The sequence below is a fragment of the Homo sapiens genome, chromosome 1, assembly GCF_000001405.40.
Source record: "Homo sapiens chromosome 1, GRCh38.p14 Primary Assembly".
NCBI lineage: Eukaryota > Metazoa > Chordata > Mammalia > Primates > Hominidae > Homo > Homo sapiens.
The window spans coordinates 37,681,570-37,693,677 of NC_000001.11; the positions used below are offsets into that span (position 1 = coordinate 37,681,570).

Below are 12,108 nucleotides of genomic sequence, written 5' to 3' on the forward strand. Positions count from 1 at the left end.
TGCTTTTTAAGTTTTATTTGCAATACTTATATGATAGATGTTTTTTAATTCCTGGAAAAATAAATACACATTATTAATAATAGTTATCTGGTAGATGGATAACGGTACATTTCTATGTAACATTTTCATTTTTTGTAATCAGAATGTATTACCTTTACAGATAGGCAAACACAAAGATTTGGGAAAATGCATGTAAAATCTAAGAAAAAAGGTAAATTGTAGATATAATACATTCACAAAAAGAATATAACTGTGTTGAGCTATATTTACAGATATAAAAAGATGAACAAATTACATTAGGTTTTTTAAAAAAAGACAACCTAACAGTATGTATCGATGATAGCACGTTTGTTCTTTAAAAAAATTTGTGAATTGGTCAGGAGCAGTGGCTCATGCCTGTATTTCCAATATTTTGGGAGGCTATGGTGGGAGGATCCCTTGAGCTCAGGAGTGAGCTGGGCAATATAGTGAGACCCTATCTATATTAAAAGAAAAAATTTGTAAATAGACACTGAAAAGGTATCTATCAAAATATCTCTAATGAAGTTTGTTTTACAATTTTCTACATTTTACATTTTTTCTAGTTTTCCTATGATCTTTATAAAAGCTTATCACTTATAAGAAAAAAAGTTATTTTCATTTTTGAAAAATATCTATACCCTTTACTAAGTCCCTTTACATTCAATGACCAAGATTCCCACAACACTCTGGGAAGCTGAAAGATCTGAAAGTAACACGGCCATTACATAGATGAAGGCAGCAGACCTTGGAAATGTAACCCCGATGGACTGACTCTGGGCTGGCATTCTCCCACCCCTGCGGCTACTCCAGACTCAGAGGAATGTGGCAAGTCAGATGCCAGCTTTGGCCAAAAAAACTCCTGTCATTTTAGGAGTCTCACCATGCCCAGTTACTTCCTCTGAGATGGTAACAGCAATAGGGGAACACTTCAAAGACAAAGCATTCAGAATGATTCATGCTGCACCACCTCCCCCTGGTGGCAGGTTCTGGAAATTGGCTTGAGGATAACTATTGCAATTGGTCAAAATTTTTAAAATATATTTTCTGTCAAAATCACCCTTATTTCTTTAAATCATCAAAACCACTTTTTCTTTTGTCAAGGATTCAGGTATTGACAAAAGACACAAAACCAGGACCTGGTGTCAACCAGACAATGCTTTGGATGATGCCAAGGGCAGTGTGGCTCTTTGCCTCTTGTCCTTGCTTCCCCACCTCTTTAGGTCCACAATAGAGGAAAGACACTATGTTCTTCAGCACCGTCTTTCCTGTTGTCTCTCTAGCTCCATCCACTTCCCTGAGCCTCAGAAAAGGGCAAGGCATGGCTCACATACTCTCAGCCACGGCCTGGCATGCTGCAGCTCCAAAATCAGACATCTAGGCGCTAATCCTCCCCAAGACCCAGTCCTAAGGTTCAAGGCACTGATGTTTCAAATATGTCAGACTGAAATACTGACGTTTCTTTAGAAACATCAGGGTTCAGAATGTCAGTCTTCAACTGTGGTACCCGTGGTCTCCAGATACGCATAGCTTCCTTACTCTTCCAGGAAGAAGGAAACATTCAATAGGATATCTGAAATAGGAAGACAGAAAAAATGGCATTATCACCTCTCCCGAGAACATAAAACACACAGAGGCACAGCAAGGGCACCTTCCTAATGCTTCCAAAGAGGCGAGCCACAGGGAGAGAAAGGAGGAGAGGAGACACAAAGGAAGAACACAAACCAGTACCTTGTACAAGATCTTGGTGTTCGTCTTTTGAAATTCGGTCCCAGGCCTTGGGCAAAGCTTGTATGTTTGCCAAGTCTCCCCACTGGATAGACGAAAGAAGATACTTTCTCTTCAGGTACCTTTCTGGAAGTTAAGGACTGCTCAAAAGAAAATGCAGTATGCTGAAGTGAAAAAAAACACCCTGGTGAGAACCAGAGGGAGCCATAAAAGTGAAAGTGCAGATATCCTTACATTTTACCAGGTGGGCCTGATTCACCTATGCTACAAATATTTCCTGAGCAACTGTTTACTAACATGGCTTTGTGCTACAGGGAAAGAGGAATGAAACCATCCCTGAAATCTGGGATCTCAGCATGGTGAGGACAAAATCAGATCCTGAAAAGAAAGAACAAAAGGGACATGAGAGGTAAAGCTAGCGGAGGTTCAGAGGATAAATACATCCAATTCAGAGGAAGCAGGGACACCCCAGCTGGTAGGAAACATGAACAAAGGCACAGAGGTGGAGATGCATAGAATGAATTCAGGGAAAGCAAATCTTCCAGTCTGCTCAGCATGGACGCCACATGGAGAGCAGTCAGAAAGGCTGAAAGGTGGGCTGAGCCAGAACAGAAAGAACACCAAGTACCAACGCAGGGCTCTGAACTTTATCCCATTAGCAACAGGAGCTATTCCTATACAGTACAGAACAATTCTGATCCTAACTATCAGGATCAGAACCAGACTTCCTGCAGATATAGAGGTCATTCATTGGAGTCAGCTTAGAAGGAAAGAAACTAGACAGAGAAAACTGTCAAGAGGCAATTAAGAGTCCAAGTGAGAGCTAAGAAGCCATGTAAGCAACAGAGGGGATGGGGACAGAGAGGGAAAATCAAAGAAGCACCAGGGAAACAGAAGGAAAGGACTTGACAAGTGACTGTGTAAACATTCTAGCACATAGCAAGTGCTTAGTAATGTCAGCCGCAGCTCTTGCTCCTTCTGCCCATGCTCCTGTTGCTGTTACTACTACTGCTACCAATGCATTTAAAAGGGAAAATAAGCCGGGCGCGGTGGCTCGAGCCTGTAATCTCAGCACTTTGGGAGGCCTGAGGTCAGGAGTTTCAGATCAGCCTAGCCAACATGGTGAAACCGCCTCTCTACTAAAAGTACAAAAATTAGCCAGGCGTGGTGGCAGGTGTCTGTAATCTCAGCTACTTGGGAGGCTGAGGCAGGAGAATTGCTTGAACTCGGGAGGTGGAGGTTGCAGTGAGCCAAGATCGTGCCATTGCACCCCAGTCTGGGCAACAAGAGCAAAACTCTGTCTCAAAAAATAAATAAATAAAAGAGAAAACAGGGTGGGTTCTACGACTCAAGGAAAAGGGGGCTGAATTTGAGGGCTAGATTGAGGAGTTCAATTTTAAACTTGAGTTTGCAGTTCTAAGAACAATCCAGTTGGAGGCATCTGCAGGAAACCAAAAGTCAAGACCAGAGACAAGAAAAGTTGGGGTTTGGGAATTATTCACATGAAGGCAGAAACCTAAGCTAGAGGCTAAAATCAGGTGTCAGACAAGAATTGAGAGAAGACCAGGCATGGTGGCTCACACCGGTACTCTTAGCACTTTGGGAAGCCAAGGAGGTAGGATCATCAAGGCCAGGAGTTCAAGACCAGCCTGGTCAACACAGCAAGACCCCATCTCCTAGGCAAAAAAAAAATTTTTTTGAGAGAAAAATGTTAGAGCTTCAACTAACTGGTCTTTCTGCTTTTACCCTTGCCCCCACTACCCCAAATCTTACCCTAGAACGAAGCCAGAATGATACTGTTAAAAACATAGGTCTTATCCTGTTACTCCTTAATCAAGTTTCTAAGAGGTTTTTCTGTCACTCGAATGCTTTTTTTTGGGGGGGGGGGGTGGGCGGGGGGTGGTTTGAGACAGGGTCTTGCTCTGTCACCTAGGCTGGTGATCACACCCAGGCTGGCAATCAAGGCTCACTGCAGCCTTGACCTCCCACGCTCAAGCAACCCTCCCACCTCAGCCTCCTGAGTAGCTGGGACTATAGCTGCACACCATCATGCCTGGCCCAAAATTCTTTTTTTTTTTTTTGGAGACAGAGTTTCACTTTATCACCCAGGCTGGAGTGCAGTGGCACGATCTCAGCTCACTGCAGCCTTGACCTCCCCCAGTTCAAGCAATCCTCCAGCTTCACCCTCCCGAGTAGCTGGGATTACAGACTTCAGGCACATACCACCATGCCTGGCTAATTTTTGTATTTTTTGTAGAGACGGCGTTTCACCATGTTGCCCAGGCTGGTCTCAAACTCTCGGGCTCAAGCAGTCCTCCCACCTCAGCTTCCCAAAGGGCTGGGATTACAGGTGTGAGCCACCACGCCCAGACCCCAAATTCTTTCAAAGACCTTCAAGGCCCTAGAAAGTCGAGCCCCCTGTCTTTCTACCCTCACCTGCTGTTAGGCTCCTCCTCATGCTCCAGTCTAGCCTCCTTACTATTTCCTGAATAGACCAGGAATGTTCTTACCACAAGGCCTTTGCATTTGATGTTTCCTCTGCCTAGTAACTTTCTCTCCCCAAATAGCCACATAGCTCTTTCCCTTACCCTCTTCAGATCTCTGCTCAAATATCACTTTCTCATGAAGCCTGCTCTGACCACCCTATTTTAAATCACAACTCCACCCTCACTCCTCACTTTCCCTGCTTTATTTTTCTCCATAACACTTATCGCCATTCAGCATTCTACTTGCCTTTTTCAATGCCTGTCTCTTTGCACCAAGAACAGTGCCTGACAGGTAGTAGCTACTCGATAAATTATTAGAGGAAGGATTATACAAAGGAATGCAGGAAGAATCCAAGTTCAGGAACCAAAGAGAACTGACTCAAACTACTTAGTTTTCCAATCTTGTGAAAACTGAAATTTGAAAGACTTAGAACAGCTCTGGCTGTGACCTGAAATGTGTGCAAAGGATACGACTTTCGATAATGTCTCTCAATATCCTGCAACCATTCCAACATGTCAGCCACAGAGGGGCTCACTGCTGAAGGCTGCAGGACAGCATCAATGCCAACTGTGTCTGCGTGTTGCTCATAGATCTGAAACACTCGCTCCACATGGCTGCTGACCATGTCTCGCACCTTGAGGAGGATGGCTCTGCAAGAAAGAGTCTGACATTAGGCAATATCATGAGACATGTATAAAGGAAGGTTTCTCAATTTTGGCACTACTGATATTTTGGACTACATGATTCTCTGTTGTGAAGGGCTGCCCTGTACATTGTAGGACGTGTAGGAGCATGCCTGGCCCCTACCCACTAAATGACAGGTGTAAACTATACCTATACCCTCCATAAGCCATAACAACCAATAATGCCTCTAGATGATGCCAAATGTCCCCTCATAGAAAAACCATCTCCAATTGAGACCACTGGTCTAAGGAGATTAGTGACAGTGTCTTGGAGGTACGGGTGGCTCAAGAATCAAGAAAGGGGCTGGGTGCAGAGGCTGTTGCCTGTAATCCCAGCTTTGGGAGGCTGAGCGGGGTGGATCACCTGAGGTCAGGAGTTTGAGACCAGCCAATGTCCCAAAACCCCGTCTCTACTAAATATACAAAAATTAGCCAGGTGTGGTGGTGCACACCTGTAGACCCAGCTACTCGGGAGGCACGAGAATCACTTGAACCCAGAGGCAGAGGTTGCAGTGAGCCAAGTTCGCGTCACTGCACTTCAACCTGGGTGACAGAGCGAGACTCCGTCTCAAAAGTGTGTGTGTGTGTGTGTGTGTGTGTGTGTGTGTGTGTGTGTGTGTGTGTGTATAGTTTTTGTTTTTGTTTTTTGTTTTTTTATTGAGATGGAGTTTCGTTCTTGTCGCCCAGGCTGGAGTGCAATGGTGCGATCTTGGCTCACCACAACCTCTGGCTCCCGGGTTCAAGTGATTCTCCTGCCTCAGCCTCCTGAGTAGCTGGGATTACAGGCATGCGCCACCACACCCGGCTAATTTTGTATTTTTTTTTCAGTAGAGACGGGGTTTCTCCATGTTGGTCAGGCTGGTCTCGAACTCCCGACCTCAGGTGATCCACCTACCTCGGCCTCCCAAAGTGTTAGGATTACAGGCATGAGCCACCGTGCCCAGCTAATATATATTTTTTTTTAATTAAAACATTTAAAAAAAAAAACAGGTGCAGTGGCATGCCTGTAATCCCAGTAGTTTGGGAGGGCAAGGCCAGAGGACAGCTTGAAGCCAGGAATTTGAGACCAGCCTGGGCAATATGGCAAGACTATCTCCACAAAAAATTTTAAAAATTAGCTAGGTATGGTGGCATGCTCTTGGAATCCCAGCTACTCAGGAGGCTGGCAGGAGGAGTTAGAGGCTACAGTAAGCTATGATCATACCGCTGCACTTCAGCCTGGGCAACAGGGTGAGACTGTCTCTAAAAATAAAATAAAAATAAATAAAAGACAAAATATTAAGTAAAGCACTCATAGGTACTCACAGCACTCCTGGGTTCAAATGATCCTCTTGTCCTTAGCCTCTCAAAGTGCTGGGATTACAGGAGTGAGGCACCGTACCTGGCCTCATCTTTTTTTTGTTTTGCTTTCCTTTTCATGGAGAATGGGATCTCACTATGTTGCCCAGGCTGGTCTCAAACTTCTAGGCTCAAGCGATCCTCCTGCCTCAGCCTCCCTAAGTGCTGGGATTACAGGCTGAGCTGCCATACCCAGCTGATCTCATCTCTTACCAGGCCTCTGCTCCTGTCATACTTTTCTCTCTTTTTTTGAGACAGAGTCTTGCTCTGTCACCCAGGCTGGAGTGCAGTGGGACAGTCTTGGCTCACTGCAACCTCTGCCTCCCAGGTCCAAGAGATTCTCCTGCCTCAGCCTCCCCTTTAGCTGGGACTACAGGTGTGTGCCACGACAGCCAGTTAACTTTTTTTATTTTTAGTAGAGATGGTGTTTCACCATGTTGGCCAGGCTGGTCTCGAACTCCTGACCTCAAGTGATCTGCCTCCCAAAGTGCTGGGATTACAGCCATAAGCCACCGTGCCGGGCCAGTCATACTATTCTCTATGCACACTACTCATACCCACGTCTTGACTCTGTTTACATCTTTTCAACCATTAGGTTTTTAATATCACTTCCTCCCCAGAAACTTCCCCACTCCACACAAGCCGTACTTATCAATATCTTAGGACATCCCACAATTTAATTCACTGATTGTTTATTTCTTCTACTCAACTAAGAACAGGAACTAAATCTGGTTCATTTTTATATTCTTGGCACCTTGTGCTTGGCATCCCACAAGGTGCCTAATGAACGTATTTTGTACAAATAAATAAAAGGAAAGTCCTCATCTGTGACAGTTTCCTATTAGTCTATGACAGACTCTATATACTGGAACTTTCTTTTGTTCCAGTTCAAGGAAAGGCCACACATGCCCTGTCTCCCCTCTGTCCTCAATAACCTGTAACTCTCAGCCTGGGCAACATAGTGAGACCCTATCTCTACAAAAAATTTTAAAATTAGCTGGGCATGGAAGTGCACGCTTGTTGTCCCAGGTACTTGGGGGGCTGAGGTGGGAGGATCGCTTGAACCAGGGAAATCGAGGCTACAATGAGCTGTGATTGTGCCACTGCACTCCAGCCTGAGTGACAGAGCAAGACCCTGTCTCAAAAAAAAAAAAAAAAAAAAATCTGTAACGCAGGCACTGGGTCTGACAACAAGCATATCAGAACTTGGAGACGTGCTACTCCTGGGCACAGAGACACCAATCTACAGCAGAACAAAGTGGTGATTAAGAGCTCTAGCCTTTGTGTCAGGCACACTTGAGTTAGAATCCCAGCTCTACCCTTTTCTAGCTGCGTCACCATGGGCAATCTGCTTAAGCTTCAGTTTCCTACCTGCATAGAATTAAGTGCAGTTAAGTCACAGATATGTTGAAGAGACTTTATAACGTAATATACATAAACCCCTTAGCTCTAGCACCTACTAAGTTTACACAGCTCCTCACTGCCTTTTACCAAAGAAAACTATAGGGCAGAGCTAATAGGCTTTCTCCGCTCCTTTTCTCTTCTTCTTTTGTGACTTCTACTAAGCCCACCACTGCCATGCCTAGTCTCTGACAAAGAAAATGCCAGAAAATGGCTTTCTGACCGAGGTCCCACTGCCCCAGATGAAGTAAGGAAGGTTGAGATACCTCCACATGCCACGCTTTCAAGGAGAAAAACACCTTCTGGACTGACACTAGCTACATATAAAACACCTCGTTTTAAAATCCTTCCACCAAGAAACAGCACTAGGGAGCTGCTTACAGCCTTTCCCCTAGCTTGTCCAGGACGATGTCACCAGCCACCAGCTGCTTACGCCTCAGCCGCTCTTTTAAATCTGGGAAGGCCCGAAGCGCCGGCACATCCTCAAACCGCAGGTTCTGTGCGGCCTGCAGCTGTTCCGCCAGGTTGCTGAGGGAGGACAGGAGGGGCTGGCAGTCCCGCAGGGCACTCTGCCACAGGCCCTGCTGCTCCTCCACCACGGGGAAGCACTTCTTCAGCGCCTCCTGCACGGCAAGCAGAGGCCGGTCTTGAGTCATCTTCTGCTGAAAAAGATAAAAACAGAAAATAACCACGTTGGGGTGCCAAGTCAGTCGGGGAGGCACTGGGTCGAGGGTGGGCGTCATCTCTGTTATCGTGTTCAGACAGGAGTTGTCTCACCTCCAGAAGCAGGGTTTTTTTTTTGTTTTTTTTTCGAGACGGAGTCTCACTGTCGCCCAGGCTGGAGTGCAGTGGCGCTATCTCGGCTCACTGCAACCTCCGCATCCCGGGTTCAAGCAATTCTCCTGCCTCAGCCTCCCGAGTAGCTGGGAATACAGGTGCCCGCCAACACGCCTGGCTAATTTTTGTATTTTTAGTAGACGGGGTTCCTGACCTCAGGTGATCCGCCCGCCTCGGTCTTCCAAAGTGCTGGGATTACAGGCGTGAGCCACCGCGCCCGGCCTGCCTCAGCTTTCTGAAGGAGACCCTGGTTTCCCCTCGGGAAGGGTAACCTGGATAGGGCAGTCTCCTGCTTCAGAGGATTCCTGGCGTCCAAGCGCCGTCTCTTCTCTGACATACAGTCCTGTCTCCCCTGCCCGAGGCTGCCGGTCGCCTTCCTGAAAAAGCGGAAAAACTTAAAAGTCCAGACAGCCAAAGCGTGAGAACCCTCCAGGGACTGCACCACGCGCCCACAGTCTCTCTGCGCATGCTCACACGCGACCTCCCCACAAAGCTACTCCGCGGGCCTGCCTGGCTACTGAGTCGCGAAAATATATCGTAGTGCCGCAATGACTTCTGGGTACTGTAGTCCAACATGTGGACTGGCCACTCGGCTTGAAGCTTCCTTGGGATTGGATGTTGGGACCGTCCAAACACGGCGACTTCTCATTTGTCAGCCTGCGGCAGTTTAAATTGGGTGGCGGTGGTGGCATGTCCTGTTAGCTGTGGAGTCTTTTCCTCTTATCTTGCGCCTCCGGTTGTGCCTTAATGACACTTTTGACATTGTGTATCACAACCAACTGGCAAAAACTAGTAAATCACGGGCTCCTGACGTGGCAGCTCTGGCTAAAATGCAGGTGGACGTCCTAGGTGCCCAGGGAGTTCGGGCTCACTGGGGAGTAGGGTGAAGGAAACCCTGAAACCGAGAGGCTGGAAGCCCGACTTGCGCAGCATAAAAACACCTGCAGGGGGAAAGCCTACATGAGGTACGGGTTGTCATCCCGTCTCATCTTGGCCATCTGACTGATGGAGATCCTCAGGCACCCAGCAGACTGGGGTGTCACCCCCACTACCCACTGCCCAGGGCTGACCTCGGGCGGAAGAGCGACATTCAAATATTTGTTGCATATGGAGCAACAGACCAGGGTGGAAGAGAGAGAAAGGACTTTCCAGGAAGGTCCAGGCTTGCCAGGACTTCTATGCTTGGACTGCTCTGTCCCCAAGCTCGCTGGTGCCCATCAGGAGCCTGCTTGGCACCTTTGCTTATTTCTTCGATTGTTCCTCAACTCAGAGGGGGAGAGGCAAGATTATCACTCCCATAGCCTATAACATGCACGCTTAAACACAACCCCTCTGACATGGCTTCAGACCGCATCCACAGGTGAAAAGCACCAAATCCAAACAATCAGGCCACAAACCCGTCAAGAGCTCGCCGGTCTGGCCGTCCAGTCGCCGCCCGCCTTGAGACTCAGCCTGAGCTACAGCTTCGAAACTAGCCTCTAGCCTTCTGGGTCTCAGCACAACTCTTGAGCAATCCAACCCTGTGGCCGTGGGCAGATACCAAGATGCACAGTTAGCACCTCCGACAGGACCGCGGCTCGGCGGGGCTCGCCGTCTACACGCCCATTCCCAGGCCCACGGCCACGACACCCAGAGCTGCCTCCTGCCCTGGGCTCCCTGGAGCCTGGTGGCCGCGGCTCATGCTGCAGTCACCGTGTGGCCAGCTGCCAAGCGCCACTACTTGCACCTGAAGTCGCAGCCCCGCGCTGCGCACCCAGTCGAGGCGCCAACACGCGAACTGGGCGGGAGTGGCCGGCCCGCGGGGGAGCGAGGAACGACAGGGTTCCCCCCACTCGCTGCCCAGACTGGCCGCGGGATAGCGCGCCCCCCCCAAAGCCTGCACCCCTGCCCTGCTCCTCTATCATTCCGTCCCCCTTGCTCTGTCAAACCCTGCCGGGGCTGCTCTGTCTCTGCCGACCCGCCACTTGCCCGAAGTTCGGCCTGAGGAGCTTGGGGCCCTGAGGAGCGCCGACGTAGGCAGCCAGCCAGTCAATCAGTCAGAGGGTCACGGCGGCCCCTCGGCTACTCAGTGGCAGCCAGGCCAGAAAGAAGCAGCCGCCAACCCTGGAGCAGAATCCTACAGCCGACCTGACCTAGTAGGCCCCCAGCCCTCCAGAGCTTGGGGTATTGCAGAGCCGCCACAAGGCCTGCCGGGAGTAGTAGTTTGTATAGTTCGCAGCCGGCCAGGGCGGAGCCGGGTGGGTTGGTGGGGAGGGCGGGGAAACAAGCCTGGACCACAACTCCCAGGAGTACCCGCGACGGCGGCGGCCTCGCTGTCGCACTCAGGCTATAGGGGGCGCATTGGGCGGAAGACCCTGGGCCGGCAGGAACTTGCTTGTGATTGGATGTTGTGGGACGGCGGCTTCTCATTCGTCAGCCTGTGACTGTGGAGTTTGAATTGGGTGGCGGTTGACTGTAGAGCCGCTCTCTCTCACTGGCACAGCGAGGTTTTGCTCAGCCCTTGTCTCGGGACCGCAGGTACGTGCCTGGCGACTTCTTCGGGTGGTCCCCGTCCGCCCTCCTCGTCCCTACCCAGTTTCTTGCTTCCCTGCCCCATCTCCGCCGCTCCCCGCAGCCTCCGCCGAGCGCCATGGCTCCTAGGAAGGGCAGTAGTCGGGTGGCCAAGACCAACTCCTTACGGAGGCGGAAGCTCGCCTCCTTTCTGAAAGACTTCGACCGTGAAGGTAAGGGGCCAGGCCGTCGCGGCCTCCTGGGGCGGTCGCGGGATGCTGGCGGGTGGGGACACGAGCTGCACAGATTCGCCCGCCCGTGACCCGTGTCCTGTCGGCTCTGCCCTCCCGCAGTGGAAATACGAATCAAGCAAATTGAGTCAGACAGGCAGAACCTCCTCAAGGAGGTGGATAACCTCTACAACATCGAGATCCTGCGGCTCCCCAAGGCTCTGCGCGAGATGAACTGGCTTGACTACTTCGGTAAGAGCTGGAGAGCTTCCCTGGGCGGAGGCCAGGAGCCCCTTGGGGTTAGGTGACACCCTTCAGAAAGGGCTCGCTCAGATGTCACCTTTTAATGAGATCTGACATGACCACTTATGGAAAATTGCAGACCCTTTCACTCTCTGTCTCACTTCCCTACTTCATTTTTCTCTATGAAAAATGGGGGGGTGGTTGGGGGGCGGCGGGCGGGGCGGTCTCTGTCGGACAACTCAGCTCTGCTGTTTACAGGTCCAAAACAGCTGTAGTGAATGGGCATGGATGGGCTGTATTCCAATAAAATTTTAGTTATGGATACACTGAAATGTGAATTTCACATAATTTTCACACATCAGGAAATTTATTTAATTTTTTTTAAACAGAGTCTCACTCTGTCACCCAGGCTGGAGTGCAGTGCAGTGCAGTGGTGCGATCCCTGCTCACTGCAACCTCCACCTTCTGGGTTCAAGTGATTCTCCTGCCTCAGCCTCTGGAGTGGCTGGGATTACGGTCGCCTGCCACCATGCCCCGCTGATTTTTGTATTTTCAGTAGAGACGGGGTTTCACCATGTTGGCCAGGCTGGTCTCGAACTCCTGACCTCAAGTGATCCACCTACATAGGCCTCCCAAAGTGCTGGGATTACAGG

General features: G+C 49.4%; 2 protein-coding genes across 27 annotated transcripts in view, besides 11 other annotated features; one reads left to right on the forward strand and one right to left on the reverse strand.

Moving 5' to 3' along the window:
* AIRIM (AFG2 interacting ribosome maturation factor) lies at positions 1-10,673 on the reverse strand. 25 transcript variants are annotated; one of them, NM_001350767.2, is made up of 7 exons: positions 10,461-10,673; positions 9,890-10,012; positions 8,765-8,869; positions 8,037-8,314; positions 4,704-4,883; positions 1,750-1,868; positions 1-1,591 (listed from the first exon to the last, which is right to left on the reverse strand). In NM_001350767.2, exons 4-7 carry the CDS (start codon positions 8,309-8,311, stop codon positions 1,554-1,556), a joined length of 612 nt encoding a protein of 203 aa, NP_001337696.1. In that variant the 5' UTR covers positions 8,312-8,314; positions 8,765-8,869; positions 9,890-10,012; positions 10,461-10,673; the 3' UTR covers positions 1-1,553. The 25 variants fall into 25 exon arrangements, with proteins under 25 accessions (NP_001337696.1, NP_001337692.1, NP_001337694.1 ...); NM_001350763.2 differs by having other exon boundaries at positions 1,750-1,872; NM_001350765.2 differs by having other exon boundaries at positions 8,037-8,317.
* Positions 8,113-8,222: an enhancer, noted in NCBI's record as "active region_773". NCBI's record gives its function as "activates an Ori minimal core promoter by ATAC-STARR-seq in GM12878 lymphoblastoid cells {active_cell/tissue: GM12878}" and the evidence as "EXISTENCE:reporter gene assay evidence [ECO:0000049][PMID:35858748]".
* Positions 8,293-8,352: an enhancer, noted in NCBI's record as "active region_774". NCBI's record gives its function as "activates an Ori minimal core promoter by ATAC-STARR-seq in GM12878 lymphoblastoid cells {active_cell/tissue: GM12878}" and the evidence as "EXISTENCE:reporter gene assay evidence [ECO:0000049][PMID:35858748]".
* Positions 8,933-9,122: an enhancer, noted in NCBI's record as "active region_775". NCBI's record gives its function as "activates an Ori minimal core promoter by ATAC-STARR-seq in GM12878 lymphoblastoid cells {active_cell/tissue: GM12878}" and the evidence as "EXISTENCE:reporter gene assay evidence [ECO:0000049][PMID:35858748]".
* Positions 9,688-10,198: an enhancer, noted in NCBI's record as "H3K27ac-H3K4me1 hESC enhancer chr1:38156929-38157439 (GRCh37/hg19 assembly coordinates)". NCBI's record gives its function as "activates a minimal SCP1, AML or CMV promoter by ChIP-STARR-seq in naive H9 embryonic stem cells {active_cell/tissue: H9 hESC(naive)}" and the evidence as "EXISTENCE:reporter gene assay evidence [ECO:0000049][PMID:30033119]".
* Positions 9,688-10,250: a biological region, named in NCBI's record as "H3K27ac-H3K4me1 hESC enhancer GRCh37_chr1:38156929-38157439".
* Positions 10,001-10,060: a silencer, noted in NCBI's record as "silent region_674". NCBI's record gives its function as "represses an Ori minimal core promoter by ATAC-STARR-seq in GM12878 lymphoblastoid cells {active_cell/tissue: GM12878}" and the evidence as "EXISTENCE:reporter gene assay evidence [ECO:0000049][PMID:35858748]".
* Positions 10,081-10,250: a silencer, noted in NCBI's record as "silent region_675". NCBI's record gives its function as "represses an Ori minimal core promoter by ATAC-STARR-seq in GM12878 lymphoblastoid cells {active_cell/tissue: GM12878}" and the evidence as "EXISTENCE:reporter gene assay evidence [ECO:0000049][PMID:35858748]".
* Positions 10,199-10,708: an enhancer, noted in NCBI's record as "H3K27ac-H3K4me1 hESC enhancer chr1:38157440-38157949 (GRCh37/hg19 assembly coordinates)". NCBI's record gives its function as "activates a minimal SCP1, AML or CMV promoter by ChIP-STARR-seq in naive H9 embryonic stem cells {active_cell/tissue: H9 hESC(naive)}" and the evidence as "EXISTENCE:reporter gene assay evidence [ECO:0000049][PMID:30033119]".
* Positions 10,481-10,670: an enhancer, noted in NCBI's record as "active region_776". NCBI's record gives its function as "activates an Ori minimal core promoter by ATAC-STARR-seq in GM12878 lymphoblastoid cells {active_cell/tissue: GM12878}" and the evidence as "EXISTENCE:reporter gene assay evidence [ECO:0000049][PMID:35858748]".
* Positions 10,709-11,219: an enhancer, noted in NCBI's record as "H3K27ac hESC enhancer chr1:38157950-38158460 (GRCh37/hg19 assembly coordinates)". NCBI's record gives its function as "activates a minimal SCP1, AML or CMV promoter by ChIP-STARR-seq in naive H9 embryonic stem cells {active_cell/tissue: H9 hESC(naive)}" and the evidence as "EXISTENCE:reporter gene assay evidence [ECO:0000049][PMID:30033119]".
* CDCA8 (cell division cycle associated 8) overlaps positions 10,947-12,108 on the forward strand; it is a 17,204-nt gene continuing 16,042 nt past the window's right edge. Inside the window, exons 1-3 of one of the 2 annotated variants that reach the window (NM_018101.4) lie at positions 10,947-11,009; positions 11,107-11,215; positions 11,336-11,464. In NM_018101.4, coding sequence (NP_060571.1) covers positions 11,122-11,215; positions 11,336-11,464 — 223 coding nt within the window. In that variant the 5' untranslated portion in view covers positions 10,947-11,009; positions 11,107-11,121. Of the gene's footprint in view, positions 11,216-11,335; positions 11,465-12,108 lie in introns of both variants that reach the window. The other variant, NM_001256875.2, reaches the window with a different exon arrangement.
* Positions 11,220-11,728: an enhancer, noted in NCBI's record as "H3K27ac hESC enhancer chr1:38158461-38158969 (GRCh37/hg19 assembly coordinates)". NCBI's record gives its function as "activates a minimal SCP1, AML or CMV promoter by ChIP-STARR-seq in naive H9 embryonic stem cells {active_cell/tissue: H9 hESC(naive)}" and the evidence as "EXISTENCE:reporter gene assay evidence [ECO:0000049][PMID:30033119]".

Bases quoted from the DNA above. Each gene is read 5' to 3' on its own strand.
- AIRIM (XM_011541638.2), bottom strand. From the start codon at position 8,829: ATGTCAGAGAAGAGACGGCGCTTGGACGCCAGGAATCCTCTGAAGCAG. The intron at 4,884-8,036 runs GTAAGCAGCTCC...TCTTTCTTGCAG, and splicing joins GACAAGCTAGGGGAAAGGCT to AGCCATCCTCCTCAAGGTGC. The intron at 1,873-4,703 runs GTATCCTTTGCA...CTTAACTTCCAG, and splicing joins GAGAGACATTATCGAAAGTC to AAAGGTACCTGAAGAGAAAG.